Source organism: Homo sapiens, chromosome 15 (genome assembly GCF_000001405.40).
Source record: "Homo sapiens chromosome 15, GRCh38.p14 Primary Assembly".
Lineage (NCBI taxonomy): Eukaryota > Metazoa > Chordata > Mammalia > Primates > Hominidae > Homo > Homo sapiens.
Window position 1 is genome coordinate 98,487,788 of NC_000015.10, and position 17,030 is coordinate 98,504,817.

The 17,030-nt window shown below is 43.5% G+C and overlaps 1 pseudogene across 1 annotated transcript in view, besides 1 other annotated feature; it reads right to left on the bottom strand.

Annotated features, from left to right (window-relative positions):
- The window catches only part of FAM169BP (family with sequence similarity 169 member B, pseudogene), a 77,175-nt pseudogene that overhangs the window by 50,626 nt on the left and 9,519 nt on the right, over positions 1-17,030 (bottom strand). The window lies entirely within an intron of this gene.
- Positions 859-1,058: a silencer, noted in NCBI's record as "fragment chr15:99031875-99032074 (GRCh37/hg19 assembly coordinates)". NCBI's record gives its function as "represses an EF-1alpha promoter that drives an FKBP-Casp9 reporter gene in an ReSE screen in K562 erythroleukemia cells {active_cell/tissue: K562}" and the evidence as "EXISTENCE:reporter gene assay evidence [ECO:0000049][PMID:32094911]".

Below are 17,030 nucleotides of genomic sequence, written 5' to 3' on the forward strand. Positions count from 1 at the left end.
CATGGCGAAACCCCATCTCTGTGAAAAATACAAAATAATTAGCTGGGTGTGGTGGCACATGCCTGTCATCTCAAATACTTGAGAGGCTGAGGCTGGAGGATCACTTGAGTCCTAGAGGTCAAGGCTGCAGTGAGTCATGGTTGCACTCCGGCCTGGGCAACAAAGTGACACTCTGTCTCAACAAAAAAAGGAAAGACAAAAAATGGTGTATCTGTCCCCTCAAGCACTACATCCTTTGTGTCACAAACAATCTGATTCTACTCTTTTAGTTATTTAAAAACGTACAAGAATCACATTTTAAACACCAAGGTTACTTTGGTTGTTTTCTGGTGTCTTTTTTATACTCCTTTGATCATTGTTTTTATATCTGCTTCTCAGGCCCAGTATCTGAACCTGAGGGTTCCAGAATCCACAGAATTATAAAAGAGGCCTCTTCCCAGTCAAACCTTCTTAGACGGAGATTTGGAGGAAAGTGTGAACATGGAGTAGAAAACAAAAGCAGTTGAACATTTCACATAAGCCTCGAGATTTTAAAACAAATGTTGTGGACCACTCGGGGTCAGCTGCCACAGCCTTTCTCCCTGTCCTCTGTGCTACTAAAGGAACTTTAGTAGAAAACTCTGTGAAGACCAAGCTACAGTGGTGCGATGATTAATAATGAGTGTCAACTTGATTGGATTGAGGGATACAGAGTATTAATCCTGGGTGTGCCTGTATGGGTGTTGCCAAAAGAGATTAACATTTGGGTCAGGGGGCTGGGGAAGGCAGATCCACCCTTAATCTGGTGGGCACAATCTAATCAGCTTCCACTAAATATAAAGCAGGCAGAAAAACATGAAAAGGAGAGATGGGCCAAGCCTCCCAGCCTACATCTTTCTCCCATGCTGGATGCTTCCTGCCCTCGAACATCCGACTCCAAGTTCTTCAGCTTCGGGACTCGGACTGCTTCTCCTTGCTCCTCAGCTTGCAGACAGCCTATTGTGGGACCTTGTGGTTATGTAAGTAAGTTAATACTTAATAAACTCCCCTTTATACATATATATAATACTTAATAAATTCCCCTTTATGTATATATATAAAATACTCAATAAACTCATATATATAGGATATATATATATCTCCCATATATATATATGGGAGATATATATATCTCCCATATATATATATATATCTCCTATATATATATATCTCCTATATATATATCTCCGATATATAGGATATATAGGAGATATATATATGATATATATAGGATATATATATAGGATATCCTATGGATATATATGATATATATAGGATATCCTATGGATATATATGATATATATAGGATATATAAGATATATAGGATATATATAGGATATATATGATATATATAAGATATATAGGATATATATATAGGATATCCTATGGAGATATATATATCTTATGGATATATATCCATAGGATATATATATATCCCATATATGTACACACGTATATACACATATATACACACATGTATATATATACACATATATATACACACACATATATACGTATATATATATACACATATATATACACATATACGTATATATATATACACATATATACACATATATACGTATATATATATACACACATATATACGTATATATATATATATACACACACATATATACGTATATATATATATATATATATACACACATATATATACACATATATATATCCTGTTAGTTCTGTCCCTCTAAGAGAACCCTGACTAGGCCAGGCGCGGTGGCTCACGCCTGTAATCCCAGTCCTTTGGGAGGCCGCGGCAGGTGGATCATGAGGTCAGGAGATCGAAACCATCCTGGCTAATATGGTGAAACCCTGTGTCTACTAAAAATAGAAAAAATTAGCCGGGCGTGGTGGCAGGCGCCTGTAGTCCCAGCTACTCGGGAGGCTAAGGCAGGAGAATGGCGTGAACCCGGGAGGCGGAGCTTGCAGTGAGCAGAGATCGCGCCACTGCACTCCAGCCTGGGTGACAGAGCGAGACTCCATCTCAAAAAAATAAAAACTAAAAAAGAGAACCCTGACTAATACAAGTGGCATTAGCCAGGTATTAAACATTAACTCTGCATAGCCAGCCCCTCCTCCCTAGAGACCAACAGCATCTAACCCACCTTGTCAGTTTCATATGGGTGAATTATGTCATCTCTGACAATGGCTCCAAAATTGATAGAGCCAGCTGGGAGCAGAGAGCCAATTAAATGTTTGACATCTGCCTTCATTTATTCAACTCAATTCACTTCCAAAATGGCACCTACTAGAACTTCCAGGAGCTTTATAAGCTATGATTATTTTCCTGCTTAACAAGGTGAATCAATAAAAGCTGTTGAATTTACTAATACACTGTATTGCTATAACACAGATGTTCAATTTGCTAATACAGTTTCAAACAAGAAATGTGTTATGATTCAGTGTTTATGTGGTACCTTGCAAGTTTCACAGTGCACTGCAGACCAGTAATTAGTCACACAAGTTGTCACAAATAAGACTGACCTGTTGTTGTTTTTTTTTCAAAACTCATCTTAAACTGCTAAGTATACATAACAATGAAACTGAAGTCCAATCACATGTAACAGTTAAAAACAAACTGCCTCAAAACCAACTCTTGAAAAATAGAATCAGCCTTCTGGAGAGCAGTAGCTTCTGATCAGTGAAGTCTAACACCTTGTCCAGAGAACACAGGAGGGAGACACAGCCCTTGGAGAGAGGCAGTCCCCAGCTCAGCAAGGACAAATGATGGCTCCTGGGGTGCTGACAGGTGCCACAGAGCCAGCCTCAGGGTATCACTGCTGAGACCCTGGAGCCAGCAACCTCCAAAGGTTAGAAAAAGGAAGTCACAACATCCTTGTTTTTAAAAAGGAAAAATATGGTCCTGATCAGTCATTTCCTCCACCTAAGGACTGAGAAGAGCCTGGACACCTGCGGAGAGAGATGCGCCGTGCTGAGAGCCATCGGGAGGGCATTGTGAAGAGCCAGCCTCACCACGCCAATTCAATTGCCCTGTCCCCGAGTGGCAGGTGACATGGACCACAAGGAAGATGTCAGTAATGGATTTTATTCTATGACACTCCAAGGTGTCCCAAAGAAGTAAAGACAGTGAGGTCCCGAAGGCTAATTCCTAGAGGCCTGGATTCACCCAAGGCTATGCATGATCTGCTGAATTCAACTCTCCATGGCTGAGTTCCCCACTGTGTGACTGGTGCTGTCCTGGGCCCCAGGAGCTGATGATTAAGCCTCCATCCTTGCCTCTTGGAGTTGGGAGCCCACTAAGAACAAGAGAGCTAAATAAGCTATTCCAGTACAGGGCAGGGAGTGATCAGTGCTGGAATCGAGTTTCACGAGGACCCAGAGGAGGAGGTCGACTCTGCCGAGGGGAACTGGGAAAGCATTCCCAGAAACTCCACCAGCTCCGCATCACTGGGTGAGGTTTCAACAGACAGAGACGGTGGGGAAGGCTGATGCAGGCAACCCGGGAGCAGAGGCACAGCACCCTGTAAGTCCCGGGCCATGTTCAGGGCATCCCAAGCGGCAGGGGTAGCTGGGCAAGGTCTAAATATGGAAGAGACTGGGCTGCAAACACCATCTCAGCAAAACATTGGCTTCATTCACTCGGAAGCCACTAGCCGACATCAGCGCCAATGGAGAGTAAGATGACTCAAGGCATTTTAGAAACGGCTCTACATACTGTCCATGGTATAGGAAAAGGAATTGGAACCTCAGAGCCAGACAGGGCCCAAATTCTGCCATCTCCAGTTACTAGTTGCATGACCTAAACCCATTCCCTCCCCAGCTTTGATTCACCCTCTTGTCAAATGGAGATCACATCCTCTTCTATTGTTATAAAGCAAAGTAGGTGAGAGAGTTCACCTCACCAAACCACTTCTCCTTAGGTGTTTGAAGCATTCCAGTAATTTCTAGAAAGTTCCTCCACCTGCTTCAAACATTGCTCTGGGATTACAATGAAGTATGAAAAGGCTGTGTAATATTTTCATTGTCAACAAGACAACGGAAAGTGTTCTGTAACTCTCCGTTTCTCCCTGGGAGATCCCCGTCCAAACCATCTTTCTGCTCCGGTTTGCACAGAAATGTCTGTCTTTCACATCTTGAGATCTGCCCATCCAGTGAGTATTTACATTTCACACCACATTTCCTCATGACCATCACCTTTTCTGTCAGGCAGTTAAGCTGACCACAGCTTTCCTCGCTTTGCCCTCCCAATGTAGTGGGCACGCATCAGTGCCGGATTCAGACACATAACAGGACCTCTGACAAGATTTTTTAAACTTCGTGTCTTGCCTAAGACTTCTTAAAGAAGCCGAACCTTTTTATCTGATTTTTTAAATCTATAAGTAAGCAAAACAATCCTTCGGACAACGTTAGCATGACTTTTTCACAGTACAGGTCAGAGAGACCTGGTTGTCACCTGTTACCTTGGATGGATGGGCTGTGGCAACTAAGAGTGAGTGGTGCCTTCAGAAGGATTTTGAGGCTGCAGCCAAATTCAGCAAGGAGGAGTCTACTTAAGGAATTAAACTATATCCTGGCTTAAGAAACTAACAATTTATTTATTTTTTTTTTTTTAATTTTTATTTTTTTTATTGATCATTCTTGGGTGTTTCTCGCAGAGGGGGATTTGGCAGGGTCATAGGACAATAGTGGAGGGAAGGTCAGCAGACAAACAAGTGAACAAAGGTCTCTGGTTTTCCTAGGCAGAGGGCCCTGCGGCCTTCCGCAGTGTTTGTGTCCCTGGGTACTTGAGATTAGGGAGTGGTGATGATTCTTAACGAGCATGCTGCCTTCAAGCATCTGTTTAACAAAGCACATCTTGCACCGCCCTTAATCCATTTAACCCTGAGTGGACACAGCACATGTTTCAGAGAGCACAGGGTTGGGGGTAAGGTCACCGATCAACAGGATCCCAAGGCAGAAGAATTTATCTTAGTACAGAACAAAATGAAAAGTCTCCCATGTCTACTTCTTTCTACACAGACACGGCAACCATCCGATTTCTCAATCTTTTCCCCACCTTTCCCCCCTTTCTATTCCACAAAACCGCCATTGTCATCCCGGCCCGTTCTCAATGAGCTGTTGGGCACACCTCCCAGACGAGGTGGTGGCTGGGCAGAGGGGCTCCTCACTTCCTAGTAGGGGTGGCCGGGCAGAGGCGCCCCTCACCTCCCGGACGGGGCGGCTGGCCGGGCGGGGGGCTGACCCCCCCACCTCCCTCCCAGACGGGGTGGCTGCCGGGCAGAGGGGCTCCTCACTTCTCAGACGGGGCGGATGCTGGGCGGAGGGTCTCCTCACTTCTCAGACAGGGCGGCCGGGCAGAGGCGCTCCTCACATCCCAGACGGGGCGGCGGGACAGAGGCGCTCCCCACATCTCAGACGATGGGCGGCCGGGCAGAGACGCTCCTCACTTCCCAGATGGGATGGCTGCCGGGAAGAGGCGCTCCTCACTTCCTAGATGGGATGGCGGCCGGGCAGAGACGCTCCTCACTTTCCAGACTGGGCAGCCAGGCAGAGGGGCTCCTCACATCCCAGACGATGGGCGGCCAGGCAGAGACGCTCCTCACTTCCCAGACGGGGTGGCGGCCGGGCAGAGGCTGCGATCTCGGCACTTTGGGAGGCCAAGGCAGGCGGCTGGGAGATGGAGGTTGTAGCGAGCTGAGATCACGCCACTGCACTCCAGCCTGGGCACCATTGAGCACTGAGTGAACCAGACTCCGTCTGCAATCCCGGCACCTCGGGAGGCCAAGGCTGGCGGATCACTCGCGGTTAGGAGCTGGAGACCAGCCCGGCCAACACAGCGAAACCCCGAGAAACTAACAATTTAAAGGAAGACACAGAATGGAGTTAAATCAGACCCAGGCTGTGTGGTGTGATGTAGTAACAACGTCCAGCAGGGATTGGTGGAGCGCAAAGTTGAGCTTGTGGTCCCTCTCCGCCTGCCTCAGCACAGAGATCAGCAGGAGGTACCAAAGCAGTGCACAGACCCTCCGGAGGTCACAAGTCTGTGGCACGTGTTGCTTATCCAACCCACACGTAGAGCAGCTATAATGTGCAAAAGACATATTACATCCAATCAAGGAATCAAACTAGACCCTGGCTTAAGAAACTTACAGTTTAGAGGAAGACACAGAATAAAGTCAAATCAGACCCAGGCTATGTGCTGTGGGAGGGCCAGAAGGGAGAAGAAGGTCATTTGGACCGAGGGATGAGGGAGTCTCCAATGGCAACTGACTTAACCAGGTGGGAAGAATGAGTCAGGCCAAAGTAAGGGGAGAAGGCCATGCCAGGTGAGGGAGGTGACAGAGATATAGAGATGTGACAGGCAAGAACAGGAACTGCAGCATGCCAGAGCCACCAGCGTTCAGAGTGGTGAGAAGGCAGGAGGAGGCCCATCAGGCCCATGAGGGCCAAACTGTGGACAGCTACTATGCTTCAGAAAAGGACAGGAACGTGATCCAGTCACTGCTTTAAAATAATAGCACTGACCACCACAGCACTCATCAAGCGCCTGGCGCAATGCCAAGGGCACATGCAGTATCTCTTTTTTTTTTTTTTGCCTGTATTATTTTTTTGACACATTATTTATAATTGCACATATTTATGGGGTACATGTGATATTTTGATACATGTACACAACATGTAATGATCAAATCAGGGTAATTAGCAATACTTATCACCTCAAACATTTATTCCTTCTTTTTGTTGGAGACATTCAAAATCCACTCTTCTAGCTATTTGAAAACATGGAATAAATTGTTGCTAACTGGAGTCACCCTGCAGTGGTATGGAACCCTAGAACGTATTTTTCCTACTGACCTGCACTTTGCATCCATTCACTAGGCCCTCCCTTTCATCCCCCAACAGCCTTCCCTGCATCTAGTAACCACTATTCTACTCTCTACTTGTATGAGCTCAACTACTTTAGCTTCTACATATGAGTGAGAACATGTGGTACTTATCTTTCTGTTTTGGCTTTTTTCATATTTCGACATAATGTCCTCCAAGCTCATCCATGTTGCTGCAAATTACAGAATTTTGTTCTTTTTTATGTCTAAATAGTATTCCATTGCATATACATTGTCTTTATCCATTCATCTGCTGATAGACACTTAAGTTGATTCCATATCTTGGCCATTGTGAATGCTACAGTAAATATGGGAGTGCAGATATTTCTTCAACATACTGATTTTATTTCCTTTGGATATATACTCAGAAGTGGGATTGCTGGACCATATAGTAGTTCTATTTTTAGATTTTTGAGGAGCCCCCATACTGTTCTCCATAATGGCTGTACTACTTTACATTCTCATCAACAGCATACAAACATTCCCCTTTCTCCACAACCTCATAGCATATGTTATTTTTTGTCTTTTTCATAATAGCTGTTCTAACTGGGGTGAGGTGATAGCTTACTGTGGCTTTGATTTGCATTTCACTGATGATTTGTCGTGTTGAGCATTTTTTCATATATCTATTGGCCATTTGTATGTCTTCTTTTAAGAGATTTGTATTCAGCTCATTTGCCCATTTTTTAATCGGATTATTTGTTTTTTTTTTTTTTTTTTTTTTTTTGCTGTTGAATTATTTGAGCCCCTTGTATATTCTGGATGCTAATCTCTTGTCGGATGAATAGTTTCCAAATATTTTATTTGATTCTGCAAGTTGTCTCTTCATTCTGTTGTTTATTTTTCTGTGCAGAAGATTTTTAGTTCAGTATAATCTCACTTGCCTTATTTTGATTTTGTTTCCTGTGCTTTTGAGATCTTCTCCATAAAATATCTGCTCAGAGCAATGTCCTGAAGCATTTCCTCTGTGCTGTCTTCTACTATTAATAGTTTCATAGTTCCAGGTCTTACATTTAAGTCTTTAATCTATTTTGAGTTGAATTTTGTATATGGTGACAAATAGGGGGACTAGTTTCATTCTTCTGCTTATAAATATCCAGTTGTCTGAGCACCATTTACTAAAGAGACTGTCCTTTCCCCCAATGAATGTTCTTGGTACATTTTTCAAAAATCAACTGTCTGTAAGTATATCGGTTTATTTCTGGGTTCTCTATTCTGTTGCATTGGTCTACATGTCTGCTTTTATGACAGTACCATGTTGTTTGGGTTACTACACCTTTGTAGAATATATTGAAGTCCAGTAGTTTGATGCCTCCAGCTTTGTTCTTTTTGCTCAGTATTGCTTTGGCTATTCGAAGTCATTAGTAGTTCCAAATCAATTTTAGAATTTTTTTCTATTTCTGTGAAGAATGCCATTGGTATTTTGATAAAGAGTACACTGAATCTATAGATTGCTTTTGGTAGTATGGTCATTTTCACAATATTAATTTATCCAACCCATGCACATGGAATGTCTATTTTTTGTGTATCCTCTTCAATTTTTTCATCAGTATTTTATGTTTTCCCTTGTGGAGCTCTTTGACCTCCTTGGTTAAATTTATTCCTAGTTTCTGTGTGTCTCTGTATGTGTGTGTGTGTCTACTGTAAATGGATTTCCTTTCTCGATTTCTTTTTCCACAAGTTTGTCATGGATGTATTGAAATACTACTGATTTTTATGTTGATTTTTGTATCCTGCAACTTCACTGAATTGGTTTATCAGTTCTAAAAGCTTTTTTGGTGAAGCTTTCATGGTTTTCTATATATAAGATCATGCCATCTGCAAACAGGGACAATTTGACTTCCTCCTTTCCAACTTAGATGACCCTTCTTTCTCTCTTTTGAATAGTTGCTATAGCTAGGTCTTCTAGTACCATGTTAAATAAAAGTGTTAAAAGAAGGCATCTTTATCTTACTCCAGATCTTAGAGGTAAAGCTTTCAAATTTTCCACATTTGGTATGATGTTGGTTAGGGGTGTGTCATATATGGGCTTTATTGTGTTGAGGTAGGTTCCTATTATACCTAACTTGTGAGCTTTATCATGAGACAATGTTGAATTTTGTCCAATACTTTTTCTGTGTCTTTTGAGGTGCTAATATGGTTTTTATCCTTGATTCCACTGATGTATCACATTTATTGATTTGCATATGTTGAACCATCTTTGCATCCGGGAGATGAATCCTACTCGATCATGGTGAACAACAATTTAATGCATTGTTGAATTGGTTTGCTAGTATTTTGTTGAGAACATGTACAATTATGTTCATCAAGGATATTGGCCTATAGTTTCCCTTTTTTGTTGTTGTTGTTGTGTCTTTGACTAGTTATGATATCAGGGTAATTCTGATCTCATAGAATGAGTTTGGAAAAATTTCCTCCTCTTTAATTTTCTGAAAGAGTTTGAGAAGAATTTGTATTAGTTATTCCTGAAATGTTTGGTAGAATTCAACAGTGAAGCCATCAGATCCTGGGCTCTTCTTTGATGAGAGACTTTTTATTACTGATTCAATCTCATTACTCACCTATCAACAATAACCTTGATAGGTCTCTTTAAGTTTTCTCTTTCTTATTTGGTTCAATCTTGGTAGGTTCTATGTGTCCAGAAATATACATATATTGCTGCTAGCTTTTCAAATTTGTTGTAAAGTTGTTTGTAATATTCTCTAATGATCCCGTGTATTTCTGTGGTATCAGTTGTAATTGTCCCTTTTCATTTCTGATTTTATTTATTTGGATATTTTTTTCTTGGTTTTTTTTTTTTTTTTTTTTTTTTTTTTTTATGAGACGGAGTCTTGCTCTGTCGCCCAGGCTGGAGTGCAGTGGCGCGATCTCGGCTCACTGCAAGCTCCGCCTCCCGGGTTCACGCCATTCTCCTGCCTCAGGCTCCCGAGTAACTGGGACCACAGGCGCCCGCCACCGCGCCCGGCTAATTTTTTTGTATTTTTAGTAGAGATGGGGTTTCACCGTGTTATCCAGGATGGTCTCGATCTCCTAACCTCGTGATCCGCCCGTCTCGGCCTCCCAAAGTGCTGGGATTACAGGCGTGAGCCACCGCATCCGGCCTTTTTATCTTATCTGTTAAAAAAAAAACTAACTTTTATTTGTTGATCTTTTGTATTTTATTTAGTCTCAATTTATTTTATTTCTGCTCTACTCTTTATTATTTCTTTTCTCCTACTTATTTTGAGTTTGTTTTGTTCTTGCTTTTCTAGTTCCTTGAGATGCATTGTTGGGTTATTTGAAATATTTTTACTTTTTTGATGTAGGTGTTTATTGCTATAAACTTCCCTCTTGGAACTGCTTTTGCTATCTCCCAAAGGTTTTGGTATGTTGTGTTTCTATTTTCATTTGTTTCAATAAACTTTTAAATTTCCTTCATAGTTTCTTCATTGACTCCTTGGTCATTTAAGAGCATGATGCTTAATTTCCATGTATTTATACTATTTCTAATGTCCCTCTTGCTATTAATTTCCAGTTTTATTCCACTGTGGTCAGAAAAGATACTTGATATGATTTCAATTCTTTTAAATTTGTTTAGACTTTTTTTGTGGCCTAACATGTGGTCTATCCTGGAGAATGTTCCACGTGCTGATGAAAAGAATGTGTGTTCTGCAGCTGTTGGATGAAATATTCTATAAATGTCTGCTAAGTCTATTTGGTCTAAAGTGCAATTTAAATCTAATGTTTCTTTGTTGATTTTCTGTCTAAATGATCTGTCCAGTGCTGACAGTTTGGTGTTGAAGCACTCACCTATTATTGTATTATAGCATATATCTCCCTTTAGATCTAATAATATTTGCTTCATATATCTGGGTGTTCTGGTGTTGGATGAATATAGATTTATTATTGTTATATCCTATTGCTGAACTAACCTCTTTATCATTATATTATGACTTTCTTAATATCTTTTTACCATTTTTTAAAAGTCTATTTAATCTTCACATAGCTATTCCTGCTTGCTTTTTGTTTCTGTTTGCATGAAATATCTTTTTTCATCTCTTCAGTTTCAGTCTATATGTGTCTTTACAGGTAAAGTGAGTTTTTTGTGGGTACCATATAGTGGGGTCATGTTTTTTATCCATTAAGCCAGTCTATATCTTTTCCATGGAGAATTTAATCTGCTTACATTCAAGGTTATTATGGATAGGTGAGGACTTATTCCTGTCATTTTGTTAATTGTTTCCTGGTTGTTTTGTATGTAATTTGGTCCTTTCTTCCTCTCTTACTGTTTATAATTGTAGTTTGATGGCTTCCCATAGTGATAAGATTTTATTCTTTTGCCTTTCTCTTTTGTGAATCTGTTCTCCCAGTGAGTTTATTTTTGTGTGTTTTCATGATAGTGATTATCATATTTTTGCCTCCAGATATAGGACTCCTTGAGCCTGTTTTGTAACATCAATCTAGTGGTGACATTACAAAGTTTTTCTTGTCTGGGAAAGACTCACTTTTTGCTTGTCTGGAAAAGACTTTATTTCTCCCTTATTTCTGAAGTATTCTTGATGGCAATTTTTTTCTTTTGGCATTTTGAATACATTATTCCATTCTCTCCTGGCCTATAAGGTTTCTGTGGAGAAATCTGCTGTTAGCCTAATGAGAATTCCATCACATATGACTTGACGCTTTTCTCTTGCTGTTTTTGGAATTATCTCTTTGTCTTTGACTTTTGATAATCTGACTATAATATGCCTCAGGGAGGGACTTTTATGGCTGAATCTATTTGAGGATCTTTGTGCTTTCTAAATCTGGATGTCCATATCTCTCCTCAGACTTGGGAACTTTAGGTTTTCTATGCCTTTTCCCTTCTCTTTTCCCAGAATTCTCATAATACGAATATTTGCTTCCTTACTTATGTGTCATAAGTCTTGTAGGATTTCATCACTCTTTTTCCTTCTTATATCCTTTTTTTCCTCTGACTGAATAATTTCAAATGACTTATCTTCAAGTTCAGAGATTTCTTCTTCTGCTTGATCAAGGCTGCTGTTGAAGCTCTCTATCATATTTTTTATTTCATTCACTAAATTCTTCAGTGGTAATATTTATGTTTGGTCCTTTTTAATGATTCCTATCTCTGTTGAATTTCTCATTCATATTGTGAATTGTTTTCCTTATTTTGTTGAGTTATATTGTATTTTATTTTATCTTTTTTAGTTTCCTTAAGATCATTATTTTAAATTCCCTTTCTGGTAACTCATTACTTTCCGTTTCATTGGTGTCTGTTACTATAGAGTTATTGTGTTCCTTTGGTGATATCAAATTTCCTTGCTTTTTCACATGTCTTATGTTCCTATGTCAATGTCAGTATGCTTCTGATGGAAGAATCACCTCTTTCAAGCTTTCTAGAGTAGATTTTGTAGACAAAGACTTTCACTTGCAGTTGCATTTTAATGCACCAGTTGGGAAGGGTGTCGTGACTCTTTCCAGATAGGCACAATATTATAGCCTCCATGAAGGTTCTTTATTTGTGCACAACATCAGGAGTAACTGTGGGTGCCACAGTGGCCCAGGCTGTAGAAGTCTGTGGCGGCAGCAGCAGTGGAGTAGGTTGCTAATGTCCTCAGTGTCAAGGGATTTGGGGGTCCTCCTAGGCTCATCTTCCCTACAGTGTGGAGACTCAGCCAAGGGGATCCCTCCTGATGTCAGGTCTGACGTGACCTACAAGTAGCTTCAGTGGTGCTAGGTTCCAGATTCAGGTGCTTAAAGCAACTGTGGAGCCAACATCCTAGGCTCAGGGTCTCACGAACCTATTTTGGTACTCGGGTCTTGGGGTACAGGTTCACTTTCTGTGGCAGGGTTGGCTGAAGGTTGCCCACAAAGCCAGGATCTGTGAGTCTGAGGCATCTTCTAGCAGCTCTGGCCCACAAGGTTGCATTGTAGCTGTGATTCTACCCACAGGAGTTAGGGCACAGAACTGGCCCAACTCCAGGGAAGAAGAGGTGCTCTAAGGTTTGGGCCTGGGGAGCAAGGTACAGCTGCAATTTGGGAGCCTGAGCCAACCAACAGGGTTCAGTGGCAACTTGGGTCCCACAGGATAAGGCACCATGCAGTAGTGACTCTAGACACTGGGAGGGTGGGGCTCACCAGTATTCCAGACTTTATGAGACCAGGTGCGGGAGTAACAAGTACCCCAGAATGGTGGAACACAGCTGTCCTTTGGGCCCTGGGAGATTGGGGAGGCAAGGAGGCAGCAAAGCTGTAACTCCACTCCGCAAGGAGAAGGCTATCTCAGCAGCTCAGACTCTAGGAATCTAGTTCAGCTTCAGGAAAGCAGGATTCTGGAGTTATTTGGCCAGTAGAAAAGGGTGTCTGAGATCAGTCACTGCTCTGTTTCCCTGGGACATGGGATACTACATCAGCTCAGCCCTGGGATGTGGAGCTGCTCAGCTCAGCAAAAGCTCTAATTCTCCACAGGGCAATGTACCACTTCAGCTTAGGTCTGGGGGGTATGACTGTTCTGGGTGCCGAGGCACCGTTTCCCTGGGATGCAGGGCATCACCTCAGCTTAGGTATAGGATGTGTGACCACTCTGGATAACAAAGATATCATTTCCTGATGTAGGGTGCTGCTTCAAATTAGGCACTTGTAGGCATGGCTGCTCTGGGCAGCCAAGGTACTATTTTCCCAGGAAGCAGGGTACTGCTCAAGCTCCAGCCCAAGGAGGTAGAGCTGGTGGTAGGTGGAGCCACTTCACCTCTCCTTGGCCCCATGGGGATGGGTGTAACACCTGCTGGCAACTTCGCTTGGGGATATCAGGCCATCAGGCTGGGGTGGTTCTGTGGCAGCTTAACCTCAGAGATGAAGGGAAGCTGTGGCCACTCAACCCCAGAGCCAGACATACCCAAGCCATCTTTCCAATTCCAAAATAAGAGAATGCAGTAGCCATGCAAGGCATAGGGGCAGGGCACAATATTGGCTCCTACCCTGGCAGGAGCATAGCTGTGTAGACTCCAGGCAGACCCTTCAGTGGGGCTTAGTGCCTGTGAGGGCTGCAGGAGACCCCAGCAGTGATGTCTGTAGGTGTGATGCGGTGAGGTCCAAGGTGGTAATGGGGTTTTCTGGGATCCCCTTGCTTACTTCCCCACCATAGGAAAAAGCTCCTCCTGGTTCCCAGATTATCCCAGTTGGGAGATGAAGTGGCGGAGGCCCATTGTTCCATTCTCTATGTGGCCATCCCGAGTTTCTGTGCTCACCAGGGTTTCTCTTAAACCTCTGATACACTTTGGCACTCTCTCTCTCAGTTATTTTCATTAACAGGTGGTTGTTTGTTGTTCTGGCTGTCTTTGTAGGGGGTCAAGCACTAGGGGCTTTTAGTCAGCTATCTTGCTGACATCACACCAAGTTCTCCAGTATCTCATTGACTGGTTACTATAGCTAATTCCATTTTCCAGGTGAGGCTCAGAAGGTTAAGAAACCTGCTCAAGGGCTGGGCATGGTGGCTCACGCCTGTAATCCCAGCACTCTGGGAGGCCGAGGCAGGCGGATCACTTGAGGTCAGGAGTTTGAAACCAGCCTGACCAACATGGTGAAACCCCATCTCTACTAACAATACAAAAATTAGCCAGGCATGGTGGCGAGCGCCTGTAATTCCAGCTACTCGGGTGGCTGAGGCATGAGAATCACTTGAACCTGGGAGGCGGAGGTTACAGTGAGCCGAGACTGTGCCACTGCACTCCAGCCTGGGCAACAGAGCAAGACTCCACCTCAAAAAAAAAAAAAAAGAAAAGAAAAGAAAAAGAAACCTGTCCAAGGTTGTGTACCTAGAAATAGCAGCACTGGAATTGGATGTGAACCCGGGTGGGTCTCACTGACTCCAAAGCCCCTGTTCTAAGCAGTATGCCCCAAATGAAGAATGGACAAAAGACAAGAGGGCAGAGCTGGGCCAGACCCAGGCAGAGGCCAGCAGAAAGAGAAAGGAAAGGGCTAGATGAGGAGAGGACAAACCAAGGCACTGTGCTGAGAAAGGAGAGGCCAGCCAGGGAAGACCTTAACAGGGTGAATGCCTCATGCCTGTGTAATACTATAATGGTGGATACATGTCATTATTCATTTGCCCAAACCTGTAGAACATACAATACCAAGAGTGAACCCTAATGTAAACGATGAGCTCTGGGTGATAATGATGTGGCAATGTAGGTTCATCAATTGCAACAAATGTCCCAGTCTGATGGGAGATGCTGACCACAGGGGAGGCTCTGCACGTGTCGGGGAAGGGGGCATATAGGAAATCTCTGTACCTTCTTGAGCCTGAAACTGTGAAACCTAAAGCTGTGACCCTGAAACGGGTCTAAAAAGATAAAGTCTTAAAAGGGAAAAAAGAAAAAAAAGGTTCACACTGACTGAGGGTGGAGACTGGATTAGGATGGGGGTGAGGATGGAGGGAGAGAAAACAATGGGAAGCCGTGGGGATGCAGCCAGGAGAGGAGAGACGGGCTGCAGCAATCATGCTGACTGGGACGGAGGTACTGGGGAAGAGATACAGGCTGGGAGTAGACTCGTCTGCAGCAGAAAGAAGGCGGTAGCAGCCAGGCACGGTGGCTCACGCCTGTAATGCCAGCACTTTGGGAGGCAGGGGCGGGTGGATCACCTGAGGTCAGGAGTTCAAGACCAGCCTGGCCAACATGGAGAAACCCCATCTCTACTAAAAATACAAAATTAGCCAGGCGTGGTGGCGCATGCCTGTAATCCCAGCTACTTGGGAAGGCTGAGACAGGAGAATCGCTTGAACCCAGGAGGCAGAGGTTGTGGTGAGCCGAGATCGCACCACTGCACTCCAGCCTGGGCAACAAGAGCAAAACTCCATCTCAAAAAAAAAAAAAAAGAAGAAGGTAGCAGTGAGGGCAGCCAGCCCTCAAGCTTCAGCAGAAGGTTGCAGGTGCCTTAACTAGGAGGAAGCAAAGAGGAGGAAGAGGAGGAAAGTGCGGGCTGCAGTTTCCAAATGCCTGATAGAGATGGCAAAGTGAGCCTGGCCAGCAGGCAGCTGGATACATAGCCGGGAGCTGAGAAGAGAGAGAGAAGAAGGATCCATGTCCCATGCCATCACAGACACCAAGGAGGGACCCATTCCACTCGCACACATATTATCTCCTCAAACTACCTGCAAATTGGTCATGTCTGACCCCTGGTCTGGAAGGGGCTTCAAGTGCCCCTTCCTGCCCCTTTTTGCTCCCCCATCCATTACTCTCCTGGAGTCTAAGTCGCCACTGCCCCGTTACAAATCCAAGAAATATGTAGTTCCATAAAAAAAGAACACAGTTAAACCAAAGTGACAGGCCATCTTCTCAAAAGCAAAACACACGTAGGAAAAAAAAATGCTGAAAAGTTCTGGCAGAGGACAGCACATAAACACATTCCAAGGCATTGCACGACTTTTGTGCAACATTGAACTGGCCAATAATATAAGGGGAGGGGAAAATACGCGAGTCGACACAGCAACTGTCACATCGCATTACTCAGGCTACCACTTCCATACAGATGTCTTCCTTAAAGACAAACACTTCCCCAGATGCCCCATGAACTTCAGCGCCTCTTTGCCACAGAGAAGGAAACATCTGGTTTGCAGTAGATTTGCATCAGCCTCCCTCTGTTTCTCAGGCCTTTCTTGCCTTAAGCAATTTTGTTTTCATGAGTCTAGATTTTAACCAGAGGAAGATGGAGCGAGGTGGGGTGCCTGGATCCAGAGGTACAGCTGAACTGCAAGGTTTTGGGGACAAAAAGAAACCCACGCTAAAGCTGTACATCTAGGAAAGGAGTCTTAAAATCACCAGCCGGACCAAGGCAGGCTTGGCACGTTTCTCGGGTTTGGGGGAAGCAAAAAGAGATGCAGACAGCTCCCCAAATGCGGTGGTAAAACCTTCAAGGTGCCTCCCAGAAGCAACCCACCCCCACCACACCAAGCCCAAGGCTCCGTCCTTGACACTCGAAATATTTTCCATGGAGCGTCCCTGTCTTCCAAATACCATTAGTCCCTTGGTAAGAAAGTGGGATGCTGTTTTCCCCTATATTTAAATCCAGCTCACAGTAAGTGCCATAAAGAGGGAAATCCCAAACTCTAGCCAACATGCACTTCCAAAACATTTCGCTGTCCTTGTGAGTAGCCAGCCCTTCAACTGG